Source organism: Homo sapiens, chromosome 16 (genome assembly GCF_000001405.40).
Source record: "Homo sapiens chromosome 16, GRCh38.p14 Primary Assembly".
NCBI lineage: Eukaryota > Metazoa > Chordata > Mammalia > Primates > Hominidae > Homo > Homo sapiens.
Window position 1 is genome coordinate 81102760 of NC_000016.10, and position 21495 is coordinate 81124254.

At 49.0% G+C, this 21495-nt stretch overlaps 2 pseudogenes across 1 annotated transcript in view, besides 1 other annotated feature; both read right to left on the reverse strand.

The window, feature by feature from the left end:
* Positions 1-21495, reverse strand: part of PKD1L2 (polycystin 1 like 2 (gene/pseudogene)) — a 119520-nt pseudogene that overhangs the window by 1885 nt on the left and 96140 nt on the right. The window contains exons 37-42 of the transcript NR_126532.3: positions 20892-21025; positions 18827-18954; positions 14612-14772; positions 9404-9614; positions 6435-6536; positions 5803-5934 (exon numbers count right to left, since the gene is read on the reverse strand). The product of NR_126532.3 is annotated as a polycystin 1 like 2 (gene/pseudogene), transcript variant 1, non-coding (transcript). The remainder of the gene's footprint in view (positions 1-5802; positions 5935-6434; positions 6537-9403; positions 9615-14611; positions 14773-18826; positions 18955-20891; positions 21026-21495) is intronic.
* On the reverse strand, positions 3774-3880 carry RNU6-1191P (RNA, U6 small nuclear 1191, pseudogene; annotated as a pseudogene).
* Positions 14110-14668: an enhancer, noted in NCBI's record as "H3K27ac-H3K4me1 hESC enhancer chr16:81150474-81151032 (GRCh37/hg19 assembly coordinates)". NCBI's record gives its function as "activates a minimal SCP1, AML or CMV promoter by ChIP-STARR-seq in primed H9 embryonic stem cells {active_cell/tissue: H9 hESC(primed)}" and the evidence as "EXISTENCE:reporter gene assay evidence [ECO:0000049][PMID:30033119]".

Below are 21495 nucleotides of genomic sequence, written 5' to 3' on the forward strand. Positions count from 1 at the left end.
TTTGGGAGGCCAAGGTAGGCAGATCACCTGAGGTCAGGAGTTTGAGACCAGCCTGACCAACATGGTGAAACCCCATCTCTACTAAAAATACAAAATTAGCTGGGCATGGTGGGCACATGCCTGTAATCCCAGCTACTTGGGAGGCTGAAGCAGGAGAATTGCATGAACTCAGGTGGCAGAGGTTGCAGTGAGCCGAGATCGTGCCATTGCACTCCAGCCTGGCAACAAGAGCAAAACTCCATCTCAAAAAAAAAAAGAAGAGTGTTTAAAAATCAGGCCAGGTGTGACGGTTCACACCTATAATTCCAGCAATGTGGGAGGCTGAGGCAGGCAGGTCACTTGAGCCCAGAAATTTGAGACCAGCCCGGCCAAAATGGGGAAACCCCATCTCTACCAAAAATACAAAAAAATTAGCCAGGTGTGGTGCAGTCCCAGCTACTGGGTCTAAGGTGGGAGGATGGCTCGAGCCCAGGAGGCCGAGGTTCCAGTGAGCTGAGATTGCACCACTGCACTCCAGCCTGGGTGACAGAGCAAGCCCCTTTCTCAAAAGCAAGCAAGCAAACAAACAAACAGAAGAATTTATGTGCAAAGGTCCTGCACATTGCTGCTGGGGATCTAAAATGGTACAGCTGCTTCAGAAAACAGTGTGGCAGGTCTTCAAACAATTAAACAGTTACTGTGTAAACCAGAAATTTCACTTCCAGGTATATGCCCAAGAGAAGCGAAAACACATGTCCATATGAAATTCTGCCCACAGAATGTTCATAGCAGCATCGTTTGTTAAAGCCAAAATACAGAAACAACCCAAATACCCATCAGCTGGGGAATGGATAAGCACATCGTTGTTTTACCCACACAATGAAATATGACTCAGCCGTAAAAAGGAATGACGTGGATACACGCTACGACATGGATGAATCTTGAAGACATGATACTAAATGAAATAAGCCAGACATAAAAGGCCACATATTGTCCGAGCTCATTTATATGAATATGAATTTCCAGAATAGGCAAATCCAAAGAAATAGAACGTAGATTAGTGGTTGCCAGGGGCTGGAGGCATGGATATGGGAGGTGATTATTAATAGGTAGGGGGCTTCTTTGTGGTATTGAAAATGTTCTGAGCCCAGGCACGGTGGCTCACACCTGTAATCCCAGCACTTTGGGAGGCCGAGGCTGGCAGATCACCTGAGATCAGGAGTTCGAGACCACCCTGGCCAACATGGAAAAACTCATCCCTACTAAAAATACAAAAATTATCTGGGTGTGGTGGCAGGCACCTGTAATCCCAGCTACTCAGGATGCTGAGGCAAAAGAATCATTTGAACTCGGGAGGCGGAGGTTGCAGTGAGCCAAGATCACGCCACTGCACTCCAGCCTGGGTGAGAGAGCAAGACTCTGGCTCAAAACAAAACAAAACAAAACAAAAAACAAAACAAACAAACAAAAAACAGAAAAGAAAAGAAAAAAAGAAAAAGAAAATGTTCTAGGGCTGGGTGTGGTGGCTCACACCTGTAATCCTAGCACTTCGGGAAGCCAAGGTGGGTGGATTGCTTGAGCCTAGGAGTTTGAGAACAACCTGAGCCACATAGCAAAACCCCGTCTCTATTAAAAAAAAAAAAAGAAGGCCGGGTGTGGTGGCTAATACCTGTAATCCCAACACTTTGGAAAACCGAGGTGGGCAAATGACAAGGTCAGAACTTCCAGAGCAGCCTGGCTAACATGGTGAAACCCCGCTTCTACTAAAAATACAAAAAATTAGCCAGGCATGGTGGCGTGCTCCTGTAGTCCCAGCTGCTTAAGAGGCTGAGGCAGGAGAATCACTTAAACCCGGGAGGGGGAGGGTGCAGTTAGCCGAGATCTGCCACTGCACTCCAGCCTGGGCGATGGAGCGAGACGCTCTCTCAAAAAAAAAAGAAAGAAAAAAAATATTCTGGAATTAGTGACGATGTTTGCACAACTCTCTGAATATACTAAAAAACGTTTAATTGTATGATTTAAAATGGCTAATTTTATGGCACATGAAATATATCTTCATTGTTAAAAAAATAATTTATTTACAATGGACAAGTTCAATCTTCTGATAGAAGGAACCCACTCGGAGAAAGTAACTTTAATTAAAGGTGGCTACTTAATTGCATCTCCAAATTAAGGTACAGTTGGAGTACCTGGGCATCAGACCTAGCAATGCTCTCTGCTTCCTTGCTAAAATGAAAACATTTCCCCAACACTACAAAATTGTTTTTAAAATATCAAATCTTTTTGCAGGACAAAGGCATTGTGGTATAATATGAACCATAGTTGATCTTTGACCTCGGTTCCCATCACAGAGCTCCTGAAACCCTTAGAATTTACTAATAATAGGAGTGTCTTTTTTTTTTTTTTTTTTAGACAGAGTTTTGCTTTTGTTGCCCAGGCTGGAGTGCAATGGCGTGATCTTGGCTCACTGCAACCTCCGCCTCCTGCATTCAAGCGATTCTCCTGCCTCAGCCTCCCAAGTAGCTGAGATTACAGGCATGTGCCACCATGCCCAGCTAATTTTTTTGTATTTTTAGTAGAGACGGGGTTTCTCCATGTTGGTCAGGCTGGTCTCGAACTCCCGACCTCAGGTGATCCGCCCGCCTCGGCCTCCCAAAGTGCTGGGATTACAGGCGTGAGCCACCGCGCCCGGCAATAATAGGAGTGTCTTTTGCTATTCATGATGAGCCCCCTTTCATCACATCTGAGTTTTTGCTAATGAGTGACTTAGGGCAGGCCCCTAGATAGCTTCAGGATGAGGCAGGTCACCAGAAAATCCTCGGATGGTCAAGTCTCTGATAAAAAAAAAAAAAAAAAAAAAGCCATAATATTTACATATAACCCACACACATTCTCCTGTATACTTTAAGTCATCATCTATAAGTACCTTTTTTTTTCTTTTTTTTTGGGATGGAGTTTCTGCTCTTGTTGCCCAGGCTGGAGTGCAATGGCACGATCTCAGCTCACCGCAACCTCCGCCTCCCAGGTTCAAGCAATTCTCCTGCCTCAGCCTCCCGAGTAGCTGAGATTACAGGCATGTACCACTACGCCGGGCTAATTTTGTATTTTTAGTAGAGATGGGGTTTCTCCATGTTGAGGCTGGTCTCGAACTCCTGACCTCAGGTGATCAGCCCGCCTCAGCCTCCCAAAGTGCTGGGATTACAGGTTTGAGCCACTGCACCTGGCCTATAAGTACCAGTAAGTACTTATAATACTTAACACAATGTAAATGCTATATATAAATAGTTGTTATACAGATTGAGTATCCCTCATCCAAAATGCTTGGGATGACTAGTGTTTTGTGTTTCAGATTTTTTCAGATTTTGGAGAATGCATAATGAGGTATCTTGGGAATGGGACCCAAGACTAAACAGGAAATTTATTTATATTTATATACACCTTATACACATAGCCTGGAGGTAATTTCATACAATATGTGTTTTTAATTTTTATTTATGTTTTAGAGATAGCATCTTGCTCTGTCGTGCAGGCTAGAGAGCAGTGGTGCAATCATGGCTTACTGCATCCTGGGCTCAAGCTATCCTCCCAAGTAGCCAGAAGAAGAGGCACATGCCACCAGGCCCAGCTAATTTTTGTATTTTTTGCACAGATAGGGTCTTTCTATATTGCCCAGGCTGGTCTTGAACTCCTGGCCTCAAGTGATTCTCCTGTCTCAGCTTCCCAAAGTGCTGGGATTGCAGGCGTGAGCCACTGGGCCCAGCCCAGTATATATTTTTTTATTTTAAAATTATATTAAAAATATGAAACACTTTGTGAATTTGCACGACCTCCTTGCACAGGGGTCATGCTGATCCTCTCTGTACAAAGTTTGTATTAAGTATTTATGTGTGGAATTTTCCATGTTTCACCTCAGGTGAGCATGCAAACAATTTTGGATTTTGGAGCATTCTGGATTTCTGATTTTTGGATTAGGGATGCCCAATCGGTATAAGATACCCAGTTGGTGTCTGCTGGAGAATTGCTTGGTGTGTGCAGAAAATCTCCACACATTTGGTCACAGAAGTGTTCTGTGTTAAGTGAGAGTTTAGTGAAATAAAAATTTGTATTTCCTTTCCAAACACAGATCCGGGACACACGTTACAAGCGTACCAGAGACCATTTAGCAACAGAAGAGGGGCAGCATTCTTAGCATTCTTGAATCCTGTGGGCAATAATTTCCTGGTTTCCAGGAAAAATAACTCTTTACAATGATCCTTCAACATGATGGAGTATGTCACCTTTATGAAATCTTTTGCAATTTAGAAAAACAACAATACCAAATTGCTGCTCTTGTATAGAAATGGAAAAATTCAAAGAAGAGTGTCTTAACAAAGGTTTCTTTGTTAGACGTGCAGATTTTTCTTTTTTTTCTTTTGAGACAGGATCTTGCTTTGTCACCCAGGCTGGAGTGCAGTGGCATGATCACAGCTCACTGCAGGCTTCGTCTCCTGGGCTCAGGTGATCCTCCCACCTCAGCCTCCTGTGTAGCTAGGACTACAGGTGTGTGCCACCACACCCGGCTTAGGCATACAGATTGAAAGAATCTTTCAACTGGGACAGGAAGGGTGAGCTGCATAATACGTCACCGTTCACACAGTCATACCTCCAGAAGGGCAGGAAAAGAAAACAAAACAAAACCATACATCCAAGTCAGACAGATCCAGGTTGAAATCCCACCTTTCCTACTTTCTAGCTCTGTGGTTCTAGGTAAATGATTTCATCTCTGTGAGCCTTGGTTTCCTTCTTTGTACGTTGTGAATAATTATACCTACTTCAGAGAGCTGTTTTGACGATTAAATAAAACACAACTTCGGTTGTGAAGAGAGCGCTGTGTGGGTGGTGCTGGTGGCTGTTATTAACCTGCAGTCTGTGTGCTCATATCCCTCTTCCTGCAGGCAGCCCAGCACGCTGACTCTTCCATGGGTGGGAGGTCGATCACGAGTGCCCAGCTTGTTGCCCTCCGAGCCATGACGACGTGGGTTGAGGTTTTGGAGTGTAGTATGTGTTTTCAACCTTGGCTGTTCATTAACCTGAAAATTACCCAAAGAGATGGCTGGGCGTGGTAGCTCATGTCTGTAACCCCAGCACTTTGGGAGGCCAAGATTGGTGGATCACCTGAGGTCAGGAGTTCAAGACCAGCCTGACCAACATGGTAAAACCCCGTCTCTACTAAGTACAAAAAATTAGCCAGGTGTGGTGGCGCATGCCTGTAATCCCAGCTACTTGGGAGGCTGAGGCAGGAGAATCGCTTGAACCCAGGAGGTGGAGGTTACAGTGAGCCAAGATTGTGCCATTGCACTCCAGCCTGGGCAACAAGAGCAAAAACTCTGTCTCAAGAAAAAAAAAGTTACCCAAAGAGATTTCAAACATACCAAGGACTGGCTCATTCTCCCAGAGATTCTGTCGGTGTTGGTCTCTGTTGGTATTAGTCTCTGTTGGTGTTGGTCTCTGTTGGTGTTGGTCTCTGTTGGTATTGGTCTCTGGCTGGGCAGCCGTTGTTTCCAAAAGGCCCCAGGTGATTCTAAGGTGCACTCAGGGTGGAGGTCACTGGTGTCGCGAACAGAGTCTCACATTGGGAATCAGGAGACACAGCTCTGGTCCCAGCCCTGCCCCTCACTTGCTTGTGATTTTGGGGAATTAATGTCCTCTGTCTATGCCTGAGTTTCCCCTCCTGTTAAATGAGGGCTCTGAGCTACAATGATCTCTCAAGTTCCCTAAAGTCTAACACCGCTCCAGCCTCTTCATAGTTCAATGACTGATGAGGAATAGGCCAAAGCGACTCACCTGATAGTATTTTTGCTCCTCACTGAAGGCCACCAGGATGACAGAGATAAACAGGTTCAGCACCACAAATGTCATAAAAACAATGCAGGATCCAATGAGGAAGGAGCCAAGCACTGGGCTATAGTCCAGGACCTGTCAGAAAGAAAGCCAGGGTCATCCAGTGTCCTGGGTCCCAGTAGCCACTTCCCCTACTGGGAACCCTCAGAGGGAAAATGGTCCTCAGAGTTAGGCAGAGCCTAGAGCCTGGAAGGTCCCCTCTGCCTGGGGCTGAGAGAGCTGGGCAAGGAGAGAACGGGCAGCCCCTCACTTTCCACGGCTGCCACCTCCAAAGACGGCTGCCCTTTCTGCCCAGGGTAGGGGGTGTTTCCTTTGGGAGACCCCTGTACAGCCCTCCCCTGAGTAGCCAGCACCCAATGTTCCTCTGTGAGCAGGGATCCCAAGGGCAAGCTGTGGGCTCTAGCAGGGGTGTCTACCTAGAGGAGGGGGAACATTTCTGTTTGTCCAGACTTGCCCGGTGCTTGCCAGGCCATGGGCCCAAGGGATGGCACGGGGCGGGGTGGACAGGGAGTGCTTTTTCTAATCTTCACAGAGGCTCCGTATAGATGGCAGCAACCGTGCCCTCACCCCGTTACCTCCTCGTAGTTGAAGATTCCCAGCTGAAGGCTGACCATCGTCTCCGCCGCATCAAAGAGGGTTTTGTAGGAACGGAGTTTCCAACCAAATATCAAGTTTGACTGTCATGGAAAGAATTCTCATGAACAGGGAAGGAGGCTGCCAAGGCCCAAACAGCCTGCTGTTTCACAGTGGAGTGGGTGGTCTGTGTCAGCCACTGCCCTGGCTGGGCTGGTCAAGCTACTGTACCTACAGGGGTGTGCAAGTGGGTGTGTGTACACAACAGGTTTTTGTTTGTTTTTTTTGCGAGATGGAGTCTTGCTCTGTCACCCAGGCTGGAGTACAATGGTTCGATCTGGGCTCACTGCAGCCTCCGCCTCCTGGGTTCAAGCGATTCTCCTCCCTCAGCCTCACAAGTAGCTGGGACTACAGGCACACACCACCACGTCTGGCTAATTTTTCTATTTTTCGTAGAGACAGGGTTTCACCATGTTGGTCAGGCTGGCCTCGAACTCCGGATCTCAGGTGATCCACCCACCTTGGCCTCCCAAAGTGATAGGATTATGGGCGTGAGCCACTGCACCCGGTCCACAACTGGTTCTATGTGGCATGCATGTGTTTCTCTCTGTGGGTCTGTGCATGCGAGGCCACACGTGTGTCTGTGTGAGAGTGTACATGTGTATGCCTGTGGGCATCAATATCTGCACATATGCACTTTTGTGTATGTATATGTGTGTATCTATGTGTAGTGTATTTGTGTGCACATGCATGTGTATATGTGTATGTGTGTGTATCCATGTATAGTGTTTATGTGTGTGCATATGTGTGTGTATATTTGTTTGTGTGTACGTGTATGCGCGTGCATGTGTGCATGTGTGTAGGTGTGCACGTGTGTGCATCCATGTGCACGTGTGTGTCAAGTTTCTGGAAGTGCTGCCTGGATGACCTTGTCCAGGACCTTTATTGTGTCCATGGCCTGTTGATGATGCCTATCTCTGTGCCCACCAGGATGAGGGAGTGCCCAGGGTGCCTCTGGGGCTCAGGCAGCCACCTGCTAAGCCACCGCAGTGTTCCCCAGATGCGGTGCAAATACCTGACAATGAGTCTGGGCACTCTGCGGCTCCAAACCCTTCGCTCTGGGGAACTGGGTTGAATGGATGATGGGCTTCTGCCTGGGTGAGGACCTCCCCTCACTGCATTTTCCCTCACCACAACCCCTCACTCCCAAGACTTTCCCAGGGCTGCAGTGTCAGAGGGAGGCCCAGCAGCCCCTGGCTCTGTCTCTGAGTTGATGACTTTTGGTCCCATGGGACACTGCAATGTCCCTGCAGCCCAGACACTGCATGGAAGTCTGAAGAAATTCACATTAGGATTTAGAGGGGAGCTTTCACCAAAATCACAGACTCCAACTTTCCAGAACACACCCCCATCACTCCCTCAGTGCACCCCACCTGTTTCCAGGGGTGGGAGAGGAAGATCGGGTGGGGCTAGGGATGGAAGGGGTCAAGCCTGAGGTGACAGGGAGGCAGAGTGGGGTGAGGGTTGGGGTGGAGTGGGGACTAGGATGCGATGGGCTGGTGGATAGGATGATCAGGGAGGAGAGGAAGGCAAGAGACTGGATGGAGCCAGGGTGAGGATGGGGAAGGCCCTGGGGTAGGGAGTGGGCCAGGATTGTGCTAAAGGCCAGAGATGAACGGAAGGCCAGGGCTTGCATGGGAACATGGTGGGCAGTAGGGGGTGTATTTAGAAGGACATCAGGATGTGGTGGGGGCCAGGATGTAAGAGGGGCTTTGTTTCTCACATGATCATAAAAAAGAATTGAAAATTTAATGTTTTTGGCTGGGCGCGGTGGCTCACGCCTGTAATCCCAGCGCTTTGGGCGGCCAAGGTAGGCAGATTACCTGAGGTCAGGAGTTTGAGACCAACATGATGAAACACTGTTTTTACCAAAAATACAAAAATTGGCCGGGTGTCGTGGCACATGCCTGTAGTCCCAGCTACTCAGGAGGCTGAAACAGGAGAATCGCTTGAACCTGGGAGGCAGAGGTTGCAGTGAGCCGAGATTGTGACACTGCACTCCAGCCTGGGCAACAGAGTGAGACTCTGTCTCCAAAAACAAAAAAAAAGCCACACACGGTCGCTCATGCCTGTAATCCCAGCACTTTGGAAGGCCGAGGTGGGTGGATCACCTGAAGTCAGGAGATCGAGACCAGCCTGACCAACATGGTGAAACCTTGTCTCTACTACAAATACAAAATTAGCCAGGCATGGTGCTGTGCACCAGCAATCCCAGCTACTCAGGAGAATGAGGCAAGAGAATCGCTTGAACCTGGGCGGTGAAGGTTGCAGTGAGCCTAGATCGTGCCACTGCACTCCAACCTGGGCAGCAGAACAAGACTCCGTCTCAACAACAAAAAAGAAAATTCAATGTTTTCATTTATGTTTTTCTACACAGGGCCATGCTTGTCAATGTGCTCTTAAAGTGCTGAGTGAAGTGGCATTGGCCCTCCCAAGCTCATGAGTCATGTTTTGGACAACAAGCACTGGCATGGCCTGTGGATGTATCTACCTTCACATCCCCACCTCTGCCCCAACTCAAGGACGTGGTGGCCCCATCCATCCCCCAGCACAGCAGCAGTGCTCTGTGTGTGTCTAGGAGTTAGCCCTGTGCCTTCTGACCAGTTGGGAAGCCAGGATAACTGGCACATCCAGGAGGGGTCTAGAGCCAGAAAGGAATTCTTCCCAAACCTGGATCCTTTCAGCACTAGAGCCTATGCCTCCTCACCCTATCCACCTGAGCTCTCCAGCCTTTGCCATTTGAGATGACTGGTGCATGAGCTCACAGCAAAGACACCCTGTACTTACAAGAGCCACCACCTTCCTTGAGTTCCCAGGGTCTCCCTAACCCTAACTGTCCACTTTCCCACCACCAATTAGCCTTGGTTTCTGCAGAGACCCTCCCCGAACTTTTCCCAAAGCAGATACTTACCGCGATGGAGTAAGCCAGGAGCATGGTAAGGATGACAATCATAAAGCCTGAAATGTCGCCCCAGGCACGGCGTAGGGCTGCCGTGATCATGTTCATTTTGGGATTCAACCTGAGCAGATGCCAAAGCTTCACTGTGGACAGGAGTACCAGGAAGGCAATGATGTAGCCAAGGGCGGCATCGGCTGCTGCTGTCTCACTGAAGCTGATGCCTCTGTGGGACCAAAATGCAAAGGCTGGGTCTCAGAGACCTTGAGCAGTTCAGCCAGAACTCATCTGGATGCAAGACTGGATTTATCGGCATTTCGGGATGTGGGATTAGTTCTATCATCATCTCATAGGCCATCAGGTCCAGAAACAGGTCTGGGAAAGAGAGCCATCCCAGTTCCCCCAGGTAGGTGGTGATGATGATGATGATGATGAGGGGGAGGAGGAGGAGGAGGATGCTGGGAATTGTGGTGTGAGAGTGATAATGACAATGACAGTGATGATGATGGTGATGATGCTGAAGATGATGGTGATGGTGACAAAGATGATAATGGTAGTTGGACTTCATGGTGTGCACTGGTAATCCTAGCTACTCAAGAGGCTGAGGCGGGAGGATCACTTGAGTTCAGGGGTTTGAAGCTGTAGTGAGCTATGATCGTCATCAGTGAGATGGCAGCAGGACCAATCACCATGTGGTTTTCTCTGGGATGTTGGACTCAAGACATTTTTTTTTCCTGATCTGTTTTTAAAAGTTTTATAGTCCAGGCGTGGTGGCTCACACCTGTAATCCCAGCACTTTGGGAGGCCAAGGCAGGCAGATCACCTGAGGTCAGGAGTTCGAGACCAGCCTGGCCAACATGGCGAATCCCTGTCTCTAGCAAAAATATAAAAATTGGCCAGGTGTGGTGGCGCATGCCTGTAATCCCAGCTACTTAGGAGGCTGAGGCAAGAGAATCTCTTGAACCCAGGAGGCAGAGGTTGCAGTGAGCCGAGATCATGACACTGCACTCTGGCCTAGGTGACAAGAGCAAAACTCTGTCTCAAAAATAAAAAATAAATAAAAATAAATAAAAGTTTTATGACGCCATATGGTATTTCTTGTTAACTGAAAAACTTTGCAGCCACAAAAAGGAACAAAACCACGTCCTCTGCAGCGGCGTGGATGCGGCTGGAGGCCACTATCCTAAGCGAATTAACACAGGAACAGAAAATCAAATACTGCGTGTTCTGACTTACAAGTGGGAGCTAAACATTAGCTAGTTATGGACATAAAGATGGAAAAAACAGACACTGGGGACTGCAAGACTGGAGGGAGGCAGGCAAGGGTTGAGAAACTATCTACTGGTACTGTGCTCACTACTTGGGTATCGAGGTCATTCGCACCCCAAACCTCAGCATCACGCAATATACTCATGTAACAAACCTGCACATGTACCCCCTGAACCTAAATAAAATTTGAGGCCAGGCGCAGTGGCTCATGCCTGCAATCTCAGCACATTGGGAGGCTGAGGCAGGAGGATCACTTGAGGCCAGGAGTTCGAGATCAGCATGGGGAACAATGTGAGACTCCTGTCTCTATAAAAAAAATAATAAAAATTGAAATTGCTTAAAAAAGAAAAACTTGTGAGGCCTGCCTTCTAGCTATTCTACAGAAGAAGCCTTTTCAAACAGGTTCAAGGTGACACTACCTTCCCGAAGCTCTGTGATCTGGAGAGCTTTCCCCGTGCTCTCCTCCAAGGTTGGACTCACTCAGGGCAGCTCTCTACAGGGCCACACCGAGGGACACAAAGCACAGACTGGGTTTGCCACCTTGGGTACTGGCCAGGCCTCAGTGAGAACCATCCTTTTACCCAAATCTCCTGCCTTCCAGAATCTTCCTTCCCTTTGAGCAGACTGGAGTTGCTGGTACAAACTGTTGCTTCCGCCTTTGACTCCAGCAGCTCCTTTCTCCTGTCTCTCTTAAAAGACCTAATGCTGCCTGGGCACGGTGGCTAGCACTTGTAATCCCAGCACTTTTGGAGGCCAAGGCCAGTGGATCACCTGAGGTCTGGAGTTTTCAACCAGCCTGGCCAACATGGTGAAACCCCATCTCTACTAAAAATACAAAAAATTAGCCAGGTGGGGTGGCAGGCGCCTGTAGTCTCAGCTACTCGGGAGGCTGAGGCAGGAGAATCCCTTCAATCCGGGAGGCAGAGGTTGCAGTGAGTGGAGATCGCGCCATTACACTCCAGCCTGGGCAACAACAGTGAAACTCTGTCTCAAAACAAACAAAAAAGAAGACCTAACACTGTCTCATGCCATTTAATTGCTTATGTATGTGGAAAAAATAACAATACATAAGCCCTCTTTTATTTTTATTTTTTTCTTGAGATGGAGTCTGGCTCTGTCACCCAGGCTGGAGTGCAGTGGCACAATCTTGGCTTACTGCAACCTCCTCCTCCTGGGTACAAGCGATTCTCCTGCCTCAGACTCCTGAGTAACTGGGACTGTAGGCGTGCTTCACCATGCCCAGCTAATTTTTGTATTTTTAGCAGAGACGGGGTTTCATCATGTTGGCCAGGCTGGTCTTGAACTCCTGACCTTGTGAACCGCCCACCTCAGCCTGCCAAAGTGCCGGGATTACAGGCATAAGCCACCGCACCCAGCCTGGCTTCAGTATTTTTACTGTCTCCTTGGAGTTATTCTTATATGTAGCCAAGGTTGAGAACCATGCTTTAATACGGCTAACTGCCTTCATAAAGGAGGGCTGGCTGGGCATGGAGGCTCATGCCTGTAATCCCAACGCTTTGGGAAGCCAAGGCAGGAGGAATGCTTGAGACCAGGAGTTCAAAACCAACTTGGGCAACAGAGCAAGACCTCATCTCTACAGATAATTTAAAAATTACCTGAGCGGCCGGGCGCAGTGGCTCATGCCTGTAATCCCAGCACTTTGGGAGGCCAAGGTGGGCAAATCACGAGGTCAGGAGTTCGAGACCAGCCTGGCCAACATGGTAAAACCCCATCTCTACTAAAAATACAAAAATTAGCCGGGCGTAGTGGCGTGCGCCTGTAATCCAGCTACACAGGAGACTGAGGGAGGAGAATCGCTTCAACCTGGGAGGCGGAGGTTGCGGTGACCCAAGATGGTGCCACTGCACTCCAGCCTGGGCGACAGAGTGAGACTCCATCTCAAAAAAAAAAGAAAATTACCTGAGCATGGTAGCGTGAGCCTGTGGTCCCAGCTACACAGGAGGCTGAGGTGAGAGGATCGCATGAGCCCTGGAGATCAAGGCTATCGTGAGCTGTGATCACACCATTGCACTCCAGCCTGGGTGACAGAGCAAGATCCCGTCTCAAAACATAAATAAAAGAGGCCATAAGCCCTCTTTTATTAGGCATGAGCCACCATGCCCAGCCCGAAGCCTTCAATACTTAAAAGAGAAAAGCGGTCTAGAGAGGAAAGAGGGAGGGTCTGGTGACACTATTGAATCCACATGTTGCCAGAGAAAAGGAGCAGGTAAGGGAATAGTCAATGATGTATTTGTCTCATGCTCAGTTAAGTGGGCACTTTACATAAGATAAGGTGAACCTGGAGCTGCTGTCTGCAGAGATCAACCTTTTAGCTGTAACTCTCTCTTTACGAACAAAATGAAAGGCAGTTTCTTGCATGACTCAACTTTCAGCTTAATTTTTCTTTTTCCTTTTGGCAGAGTGGATTGGGGTCCCAAGATTTTATTTTCCCTTCATGCAGCTTAACCTCTCCAAGCCTCATTACATGTGATTTCCTCATTTGTAAAAAAAAAAAAGGATGATGAGGCTGGGCGCGGTGGCTCACGCCAGTAATCTCAGCACTTTGGGAAGTCGAGGGGGGCGAATCATGAAGTCAGGAGTTTGAGATCAGCCTGGCCAACATGGTGAAACCCCGTCTCTATTAAAAATACAAAAATTAACCGGGTGTGGTGGTGTGTACTTGTAATCCCAGCTACTGGGGAGGCTGAGGCAGGAGGATGACTTGAACCCAGGAGGGAGAGGTTGCAGTGAGCTGAGATCATGCAAGAGTCCGTCTCAAAAAACAAAACAAAAAAAGGGATGGTGATATCATCTCTTAGAGGTCTCAGGAGGATTCAGGTGTAGGTGAGATGAGACACTGCTTGTAATGTGGTGTTTTTATGAAAGTGTATGACATTTAGCAATAACTCAATACATGTTAGCTATATCTATAAAACGAATGAGTGAGTCAAGAAACCCGATGATTCCAAGCAAGGGAGGGGACCCTGGAGCCACACAAGCTAGGCTTAAATTACTTGTCTGCCACATTTTAGCTGTGTGGCCTTGGGGAAGTCACGTGACCTCTCTGAGCCTCAGTGTCTTTGTCTGTTTTTTTGAGACCCAGTCTCCCTCTGTCACCCAGGCTGGAGGGCAGTGGCGCAATCTCGGCTCACTGCAACTTTTGCTTCCCGGGTTCTAGCGATTCTCCCGCCTCCTGAGTAGCTGGGACTGCAGGTGCATGCCATCACGCCCAGCTAATTTTTGTATTTTTAGTAGGGATGGGGTTTCACCATATTGGCCAGGCTGGTCTCGAACTCCTGACCTCAAATGATCCACCCGCCTTGGCCTCCCAAAGTGTTGGGATTACAGGCGTGAGCCACCGTGTCCAGCAATTTTTCCATTTTTAGTAGAGTTAGGGTTTCACTGTGTTGGCCAGGCTGGTTTCAATCTCCTAACCTCAAGTGATCTGCCCACCTCGGCCTCCTGAAGTGCTGAGATTACAGGCATGAGCCACCACACCCTGCCCTCAATGTCTTTGTTAAATGGGGCGATGATAACACTGACCTTCATCAATCCTGATGATGATTCCCTAGGTGAAAACATCCTGCCTACCACATAGTGGACACTTAGTGTATGGTAGCAGAGGTGAGCTTACTGGGGCCATAATACTTGCAAAGGGCCTCCCCTTTGCAAGGTTTTGGAGAGCCTAAGCAGGATGCCCCATGGTCCTATGTTTTGGGAAGATTTGCACAAGATGTTCTATTTTGTCTGAGTCCTCTCCAATCGTACTCACTTGCGGCTGGCCCCACACCTGAATCTAGGTGGCAGCTAGAGTTATGTCTACTAGGAGTGCCCCTTTATCCCTTGAGGGTCCACAGCATTCCAAAACCTCCTTCTGACCCCTGGGCCTCAAACGGAGCTGTAGGAAGAGGGGCCAGTGTGGGGAGCTGGGGGGCTGAGGAGACAGCCACTGACTCCTCCCTGTGGTTCCGGCAGCGCTGGAGGTCCCTTTCGGCCAGGACAGCCCTCTTCACAAACACCGCCAGGGCGCTCCAGCTGGCCAGGATGATGGCCAGCTCCAGAAGGTTCCACTTGCTGCAGAAATAGCCCCACGTCTCTTTACTCATGCGCTTGCCCTGGAAAAGGAGCGTGAAGTTGCGGCCGTGACTGCCCCCGCCCCACAGGGCTGCTCCCTCCCCATCCCGGAGGGCCCTCTGGCAGGAGGCTTCCCCAGCTCTGGCCCCCATGCACAGAGTGCCCAGGCCTCTCCCCAACCTTGTGCACAGACCCATTGAGGCGGGATAATAGGGCCTGGAGGCAGGGAACCTAAGAACTAAATCAAATGGAAACACTTCAGCTATGACAGGAAATATCCTCTTCATTCACATAGGGTGTACCCCGAGTAAATGACTTTGTAACTTCACTTTAACCTCTTCATTTACATAGGACATACACCGATTAACCAATGGAAACCTCTAGAAGGTATTTAAACCCCAGGAAATTCTTTTTTTTTTTTTTTTTTGAGATGGAGTCTCCCTCTGTTGCTCAGGCTGGAGTGCAGCGGGCCCCATCTCAGCTCAATGCAACCTCTGCCTCCCGGGTTCAAGCAATTCTTCTGCTTCAGCCCCCTGAGTAGCTGGGATTACAGACGTGTGCCACCACACCCAGCTAATTTTTGTATTTTTAGTAGAGAAGGGGTTTCATTTTGTTGGCCAGGCTAGTCTCAAACTCCTGACCTCAGGTGATCTGCCCGCCTCTGCTTCCCAAAGTGCTGGGATTACAAGTGTGAGCCACCGAACCCAGCTGGCTGTAGTTTGCAACATGGAAAGAGTTCATCCTTCTGGAGATGGACGGTAGTGGCACTTGCACAATGATATGAGTGGACCTAATGCCACTAAACACTTAAAAGTGGTTAAAATGGTAAATTTTATGTTACGTATATTTCCCACAATTAAAAATAAATAATTTAGGCTGGGCACGGTGGCTCACGCCTGTAATCCCAGCACTTTGGGAGGCTGTGGCTGGCAGATCACAAGGTCAGGAGATCCAGACCATCCTGGCCAACACGGCGAAACCCTGTCTCTATTAAAAATACAAAAATTAGCCGGGCGTGGTGGCAGGTGCCTGCAGTCCCAGCTACTCAGGAGGCTGAGGCAGGAGAATCGCTTGAACCCTGGAGGCGGAGGTTAAAGTGAGCCGACATCGTGCCATTGCACTCCAACTTGGTGACAGAGAAAGAATCTGTCTAAAAAAAAAAAAAAACAACAATAAAATAAATAAATAATTTTAAAAATTGCTGAGCGTGGTGACTCATACCTCTACAACACTTTGGGAGGCTGAGGCGTGACAATCACTTGAGCCCAGGAGTTAGAGAACAGCCTGGGCAAAATCACGAAAACGGGCTGGGCATGGTGGCTGACGCCTGTAATCTCAGTACTTTGGGAGACCAAGGCAGACAAATCACTTGAGGTCAGGAGCTCGAGACCAGCCTGGCCAACATGGTGAAAACCCTGTCTGTACTACAAATATAAAAATAAGCTGCAAATCTCTTAAACCCAGGAGGCGGAGGATGCAGTGAGCAGAGAAGTCACCACTGTACTCCAGCCTGGGCAACAGAGCAAGACTCCGTCTCAAAAAAAAAAAAAAAAGAAAGAAAAAGACAAAGCCTCATCTCTACAAAAAGTACAAAAATTAGCTGGATGTGGTGACACATGCCTATAGTCTCAGCTACTCGGGAGGCTGAGGTAGGAGGATCACTTGACCCTGGGGAGGTTGAGGCTGCAGTAATCTGGGACTGCACTACTGCACTCCAGCCAGGGCAACAGAGCCAGACCCTCTCTCTACATAGACAGACAAATAGATAGTTAGGTAGTTTTCTTTCTTTTCTGCCCTTGTGGAGAGGTTTTCTGGATAGGCACGAGACTTAGTTTTAAGTAAACTTCCCCAACAGGTGTCACAAGTTCAAAAGAACGATCCTGCGTGTGTTCTTCATCTTCCTCCCCATCTTTTCCCTTTCACTCAAGAGAATCTTCTATTTTTGTACCAGTTTCCCCTCCTGCCCCTTCTTTTTTCCTCTTCTTTCTTCCTTTCTTTCCTTTCCTTCCTTTCCTTCCTTCCTTCCTTTTCTTTCTTTTTTTTGCCAGGGACAGAGTTTCGCTCTTGTTGCCTAGTCCTGGAGTGCAGTGGCGCAATCTCAGCTCACTGCAACCTCTGCCTCCAGTTCAAGCGATTCTCCTGCCTCAGCCTCCCGAGTAGCTGTAATTACAGGCATGCGCCACCACACCCGGCTAATTTTATATTTTTAGTAGAGATGGGTTTTCACCATGTTGGCCAGGCTAGTCTTGAACTCCTGATCTCATGATCCACCTGCCTTGGCCTCCCAAAGTGCTGGGATTACAGGCGTGAGCCACCGCGCCCAGCAATTTTTTTTTTTTTTTTTTTTTTGGAGACAGAGTCTTGCTCTGTCATCCAGGCTGGAGTGCTGTGGCAGGATCTCAGCTCACTGCAACCTCTGCCTCCCAGGTTCAAGTGATTCTATTGCATCAGTCTCCCAAGTAGGTGGGACTACAGGCGCCTGCCACCATGCCCGGCTAATTTTTGTATTTTTAGTAGAGATGAGGTTTTGCAATGTTGGCCAGGCTGGTCTCCAACTCCTGACCTCAAGTGATCTGCCCGTCCTGGCCTCCCAAAATGCTGGGATTATAGGCTTGAGCCACTGTGCCCCTCCTACCCACTCTTAAGAAGGAAGGACTTCCATTTGGCTGGTGGCAGGCTAAGTTCACTTTTACAACAAAGGGATGGAGAGTGGGGAGATTTTTAAAACTGCCCAAGCAGCATTTTGCGAGAGATTTGTAGGTTTTGGAGAGCAGCTTTCTGAAGCAGCTGCAGGCAGACTGTGGAGGCAGTTGGAGGAGGGCAGTGAACCGTGGAGGCGGGTGGTGAACAGATCTGCTGTGAGGTTCTTGGACAGGTGCATGGATTGAAGTTGCTGTCTGATGACTGTTGGCCATTGGGCTTGAACTGGTGATGCTCAAGACCAGGCGAGTGCGCTGCTTCATGAGGCTGATGCTGTGGATAGGGGTCGAGTGTGACGGTCAGGGGTCAGACTCCCTGTGTTCAAATTCTGACCTTGGATAAATGACTTAAAGTCTCTGGACTTTAGTTTCCTACTCTGAATTAGAGCCCATAGGACCTTTCTCCTGTTGTTGAAAGAGAAAACACATACGTTCTTAGCACAATGCCTGCTATGCAGTAAGCACTCAAAAATATCATCCTTGCTTTAAACAGGGTGTTGGAGAAGACGATGGAGGGCCAAGATGCCCCCTTTCGGCAATCTGGTTTGCATTTTTGTCAGGAGGAGGGGAGTAGCTTCCGGTGTGTTCCCATGATCGTCCAGCCTTTAGCGTCATCAACATCTGCACGTTTGGATGCAACATGGCAATAAAGGTGGCAAAGGGGATGTTGCCTAACTCCCAGTGACCGTGGGTGGGAACAAAAGATGCTAAGAGGCCCCACAATCTAAGTTCAGAGGACTTCCACACCCAGCTGTAGGGTCACTTCCCCGTACCATCGCCCTACCCTGGCTCTTTGGAAGGTCTCAGTTCAGTAGAAACAGGACCCATGCTCCTCTCCCTTCCCCACCCATGAAAGACCCCACTTTGAGTTCTCAATTCCTGAGGAGTACCAACCTTGGGTCCTTCCCATGCCCTGATCTAGCAGCCTAGATCAGCCCTAGGACCAATGGAAGGACCAAAGGTTGCTCCCAGCAAACACCTAAGGCAAAGCCCTTTCCCGGCCGGGTGCGGTGGCTCACGCCTGTAATCCCAGCACTTTGGGAGGCTGAGGCAGGCGGTTCACGAGGTCAGGAGTTTGAGACCATCCTGGCCAACATGGTGAAACCCCATCTCTACTAAAAACACAAAAATTAGCAGGGCTTGGTGGTGCATGCCTGTAGTCCCAGCTACTCAAGATGCTGAGGCAGGAGAATCATTTGAACCCAGGAGGTGGGGGCTGCAGTGAGCCGAGATTGCACCACTGTATTCCAGCCTGGTGACAGAGACTCCATCTCAAAAAAAAAAAGGAAAAAATCCCTTTCCCATCCCACTTACAAGGAAGAGGAGAGGTGTTGGTGAGGCACCAGGCACCCCTGCACCCCAAACCCTGCTCATGAGCTATGAGCATGCCCCTTACCTGCACCACCATGTAGTAGAGGAGGAAGAGGAAGTAGATGAGCTCTGCCGCTACCACGAAGGGGTGCCAGCCGTCGGTGAAGGGGTACAGGCGGAGGCTCTGCAGGGCCGCGTGCGTAAAAAAGGTGCCTGGGGAGCAAAGTGCGTTCTGCTCACTCTGGGCCACCTGGTTGCTCAGAGCCATGGCTTCTGACAGGAGCCATCAGGTCAGATGACTCAAGCTCAACCCCCTGAGGGCTGGCTGTGGCCAAGGAAAAGCCAAAGTTATTTCAGACCCGAAGGACTGAACGTGGACACGTGGTAGACACCGAAGACAGCGGATGCAACAGAAGGGGCGGAGGGGCTGCAGTGGAAGGTTCTCCCCTCCCCTCGGCATTTGATGTTGGCCTTTTGGGCACAGACACCTCCAGATAAAGCACATCCACCCATATAATGACAATTGACTCCCACTTGGCTCATTTAAAGCCATTTTGGGCCGGGCCCAGGGGCTCACGCCTCTAATCCCAGCACTTTGAGAGGCTGAGGTGGGCAGATCATAAGGTCCGGAGATTGAGCTCATCCTGGCTAACGTGGTAAAACCCCGTCTCTACTAAAAATACAAAAAGTTAGCCAGGTGTGGTGGCAGGCACCTGTAGTCCCAGCTACTCGGGAGGCTGAGGCAGGAGAATTGCTTGAACCCAGGAGGCAGAGGTTGCAGTGAGCCGAGATCACACCATTGCACTCCAGCCTGGGTGACAGAGAAGGACTGTGTCTCAAAAAAAAAATAAAAATAAAAAAAGATACACAGGTAAACCCAAAAAGGATTTGGAAGAAACTATTAGCAATGCGGAATGACAATGGAAATTGAAAGCCCTTCAGTTTTCACAGTTCTGAATTTTGTTTTTAAAACACAAACATATATTCCTTTTTTTTTTTTTTTTTTTTTGAGATGCAGTCTTGCTCTTGTTCCCCAGGCTGGAGTGCAATGGCACAATCTCGGCTTACTGCAACCTCCACCTCCTGGGTTCAAGTGATTCTTCTGCCTCAGCCTCCTGAGTATCTGGGATTACAGGTGCCCGCCACCACGCCCAGCTAATTTTTGTATGTTTAGTAGAGACGGGGTTTCGCCATGTTGGCCAGGCTAGTCTTGAACTCCTGACCTGGTGATTTGCACCCCCCCCCACCCGGCCAATGGCCTCCCAAAGTGCTGGGATTACAGGTGTGAGCCACCATTCCCGGCCTATATTACTTTTATCATTAAAAACGTAATCTAATATTTTCTAAAAGTTTGGTATTCACTGGAGAGGAGGTTGGCTTTTAGGTAAATTGACCATCAGCTGAATAGACTATAGATTGGTTTTTAGAAGACTGTGATCAGCATTTTAAAGGGGGAAGGAGGCATGAGGAAGAATAAATAGAATAGAACACAAAATATGAGAGCCCATCACATGTAGTTTTTTGTTTTTTAAATTTTATAGAGACCAGGTCTCACCATGATGCCCAGGCTGGTCTTGGACTCCTGGGCTCAAGGAGTCCTCCCACCTTGACCTCCCAAAGTGCTGGGATCATGGGGGCGAGCCCGGCCTCATGGAGTTAAAGTACATGTTATTTGTGAACATTTCATCTTGGTTGCATGTGTGCTGGATTATGTTGTAAAACGTACTTTGTGCTGTGCACTGATGTATGGTGAAATATATATTAGGTGATATGATCTGTTACATCACATTCTCCCTCGCCGTCACTGCCAGGTCACCACCCCCAACCCCAGCAGACAGGGAAGCTCGGGATTAGGCAATGGATAAGCTGCCTTTGGACTCTGAATAGGCTGTTTTACGATAACTTGGGCGACTAGGCCAGAAAGATGGGAAGAATTAGGGTGGAGGGCCCTAATGCTTTGCCTTTGGGGGCCCAGGGACTCATGGCTGCAAGGATAACCAAGATCCACACCTAGATTCACTAAATAAGTATTTGCTCTGGAGCTCTGGCCCTGGGGTGGCTGCACCTAGGTAGGTCAGGAGCCCCAGCCCAGGGGAAGGAGTATATGTCTTCTGGAGCCCTGCAGAGGGTTCCCAGGCGAGGCTGCCCACCCAGAGCGCTGGTCTCTAGCGTCAGCGTGACAATGCAGAACAGGTTGACGTTGGCGTTGTAGACAGTGGACTCCACAAACACAGCTCTGGTCAGGGCGTCCAGCCAGGTGTTGTCAAAGAGATAGCGGAGAATTCTGCAGGAAAGAGTGGCATTGGGTCATTGCTATCCTGCAGGGGCTCCATGTCCCGGCAGCCCCTTGACTGAGGCCAGTACTTCCTGTCTCAACTTCTCCCTCTGTTTCTGCTCTGCTCCCTGGGCCACCAGGCCAACAGAGCTGCTGCTGGGAGTGGTCACATTTTGTAGCCCACGCTGTGATATGGTGGCACCCCTCATCTCCTGGCCATCAGAGCAGAGATTCTCAAAGTGTAGTGCCCACACCAGCAGCATCAGCATCACCTGGGAACTTGTTGGAAATACAGATTTTCAGGCCCGCCCTAGACCTGCTGAGTCAGACACTCTCAGGGGAGCCCAGAATGCGTGTTTTGATGAGCCCGCCAGGATTTGGATTTTTTTTTTTTTTTTTTTGAGACGGAGTCTTGAACTGTCGCCCAGACTGGAGTGCAGTGGTGCGATCTCGGCTCACTGTAAGCTCTGCCTCCTGGG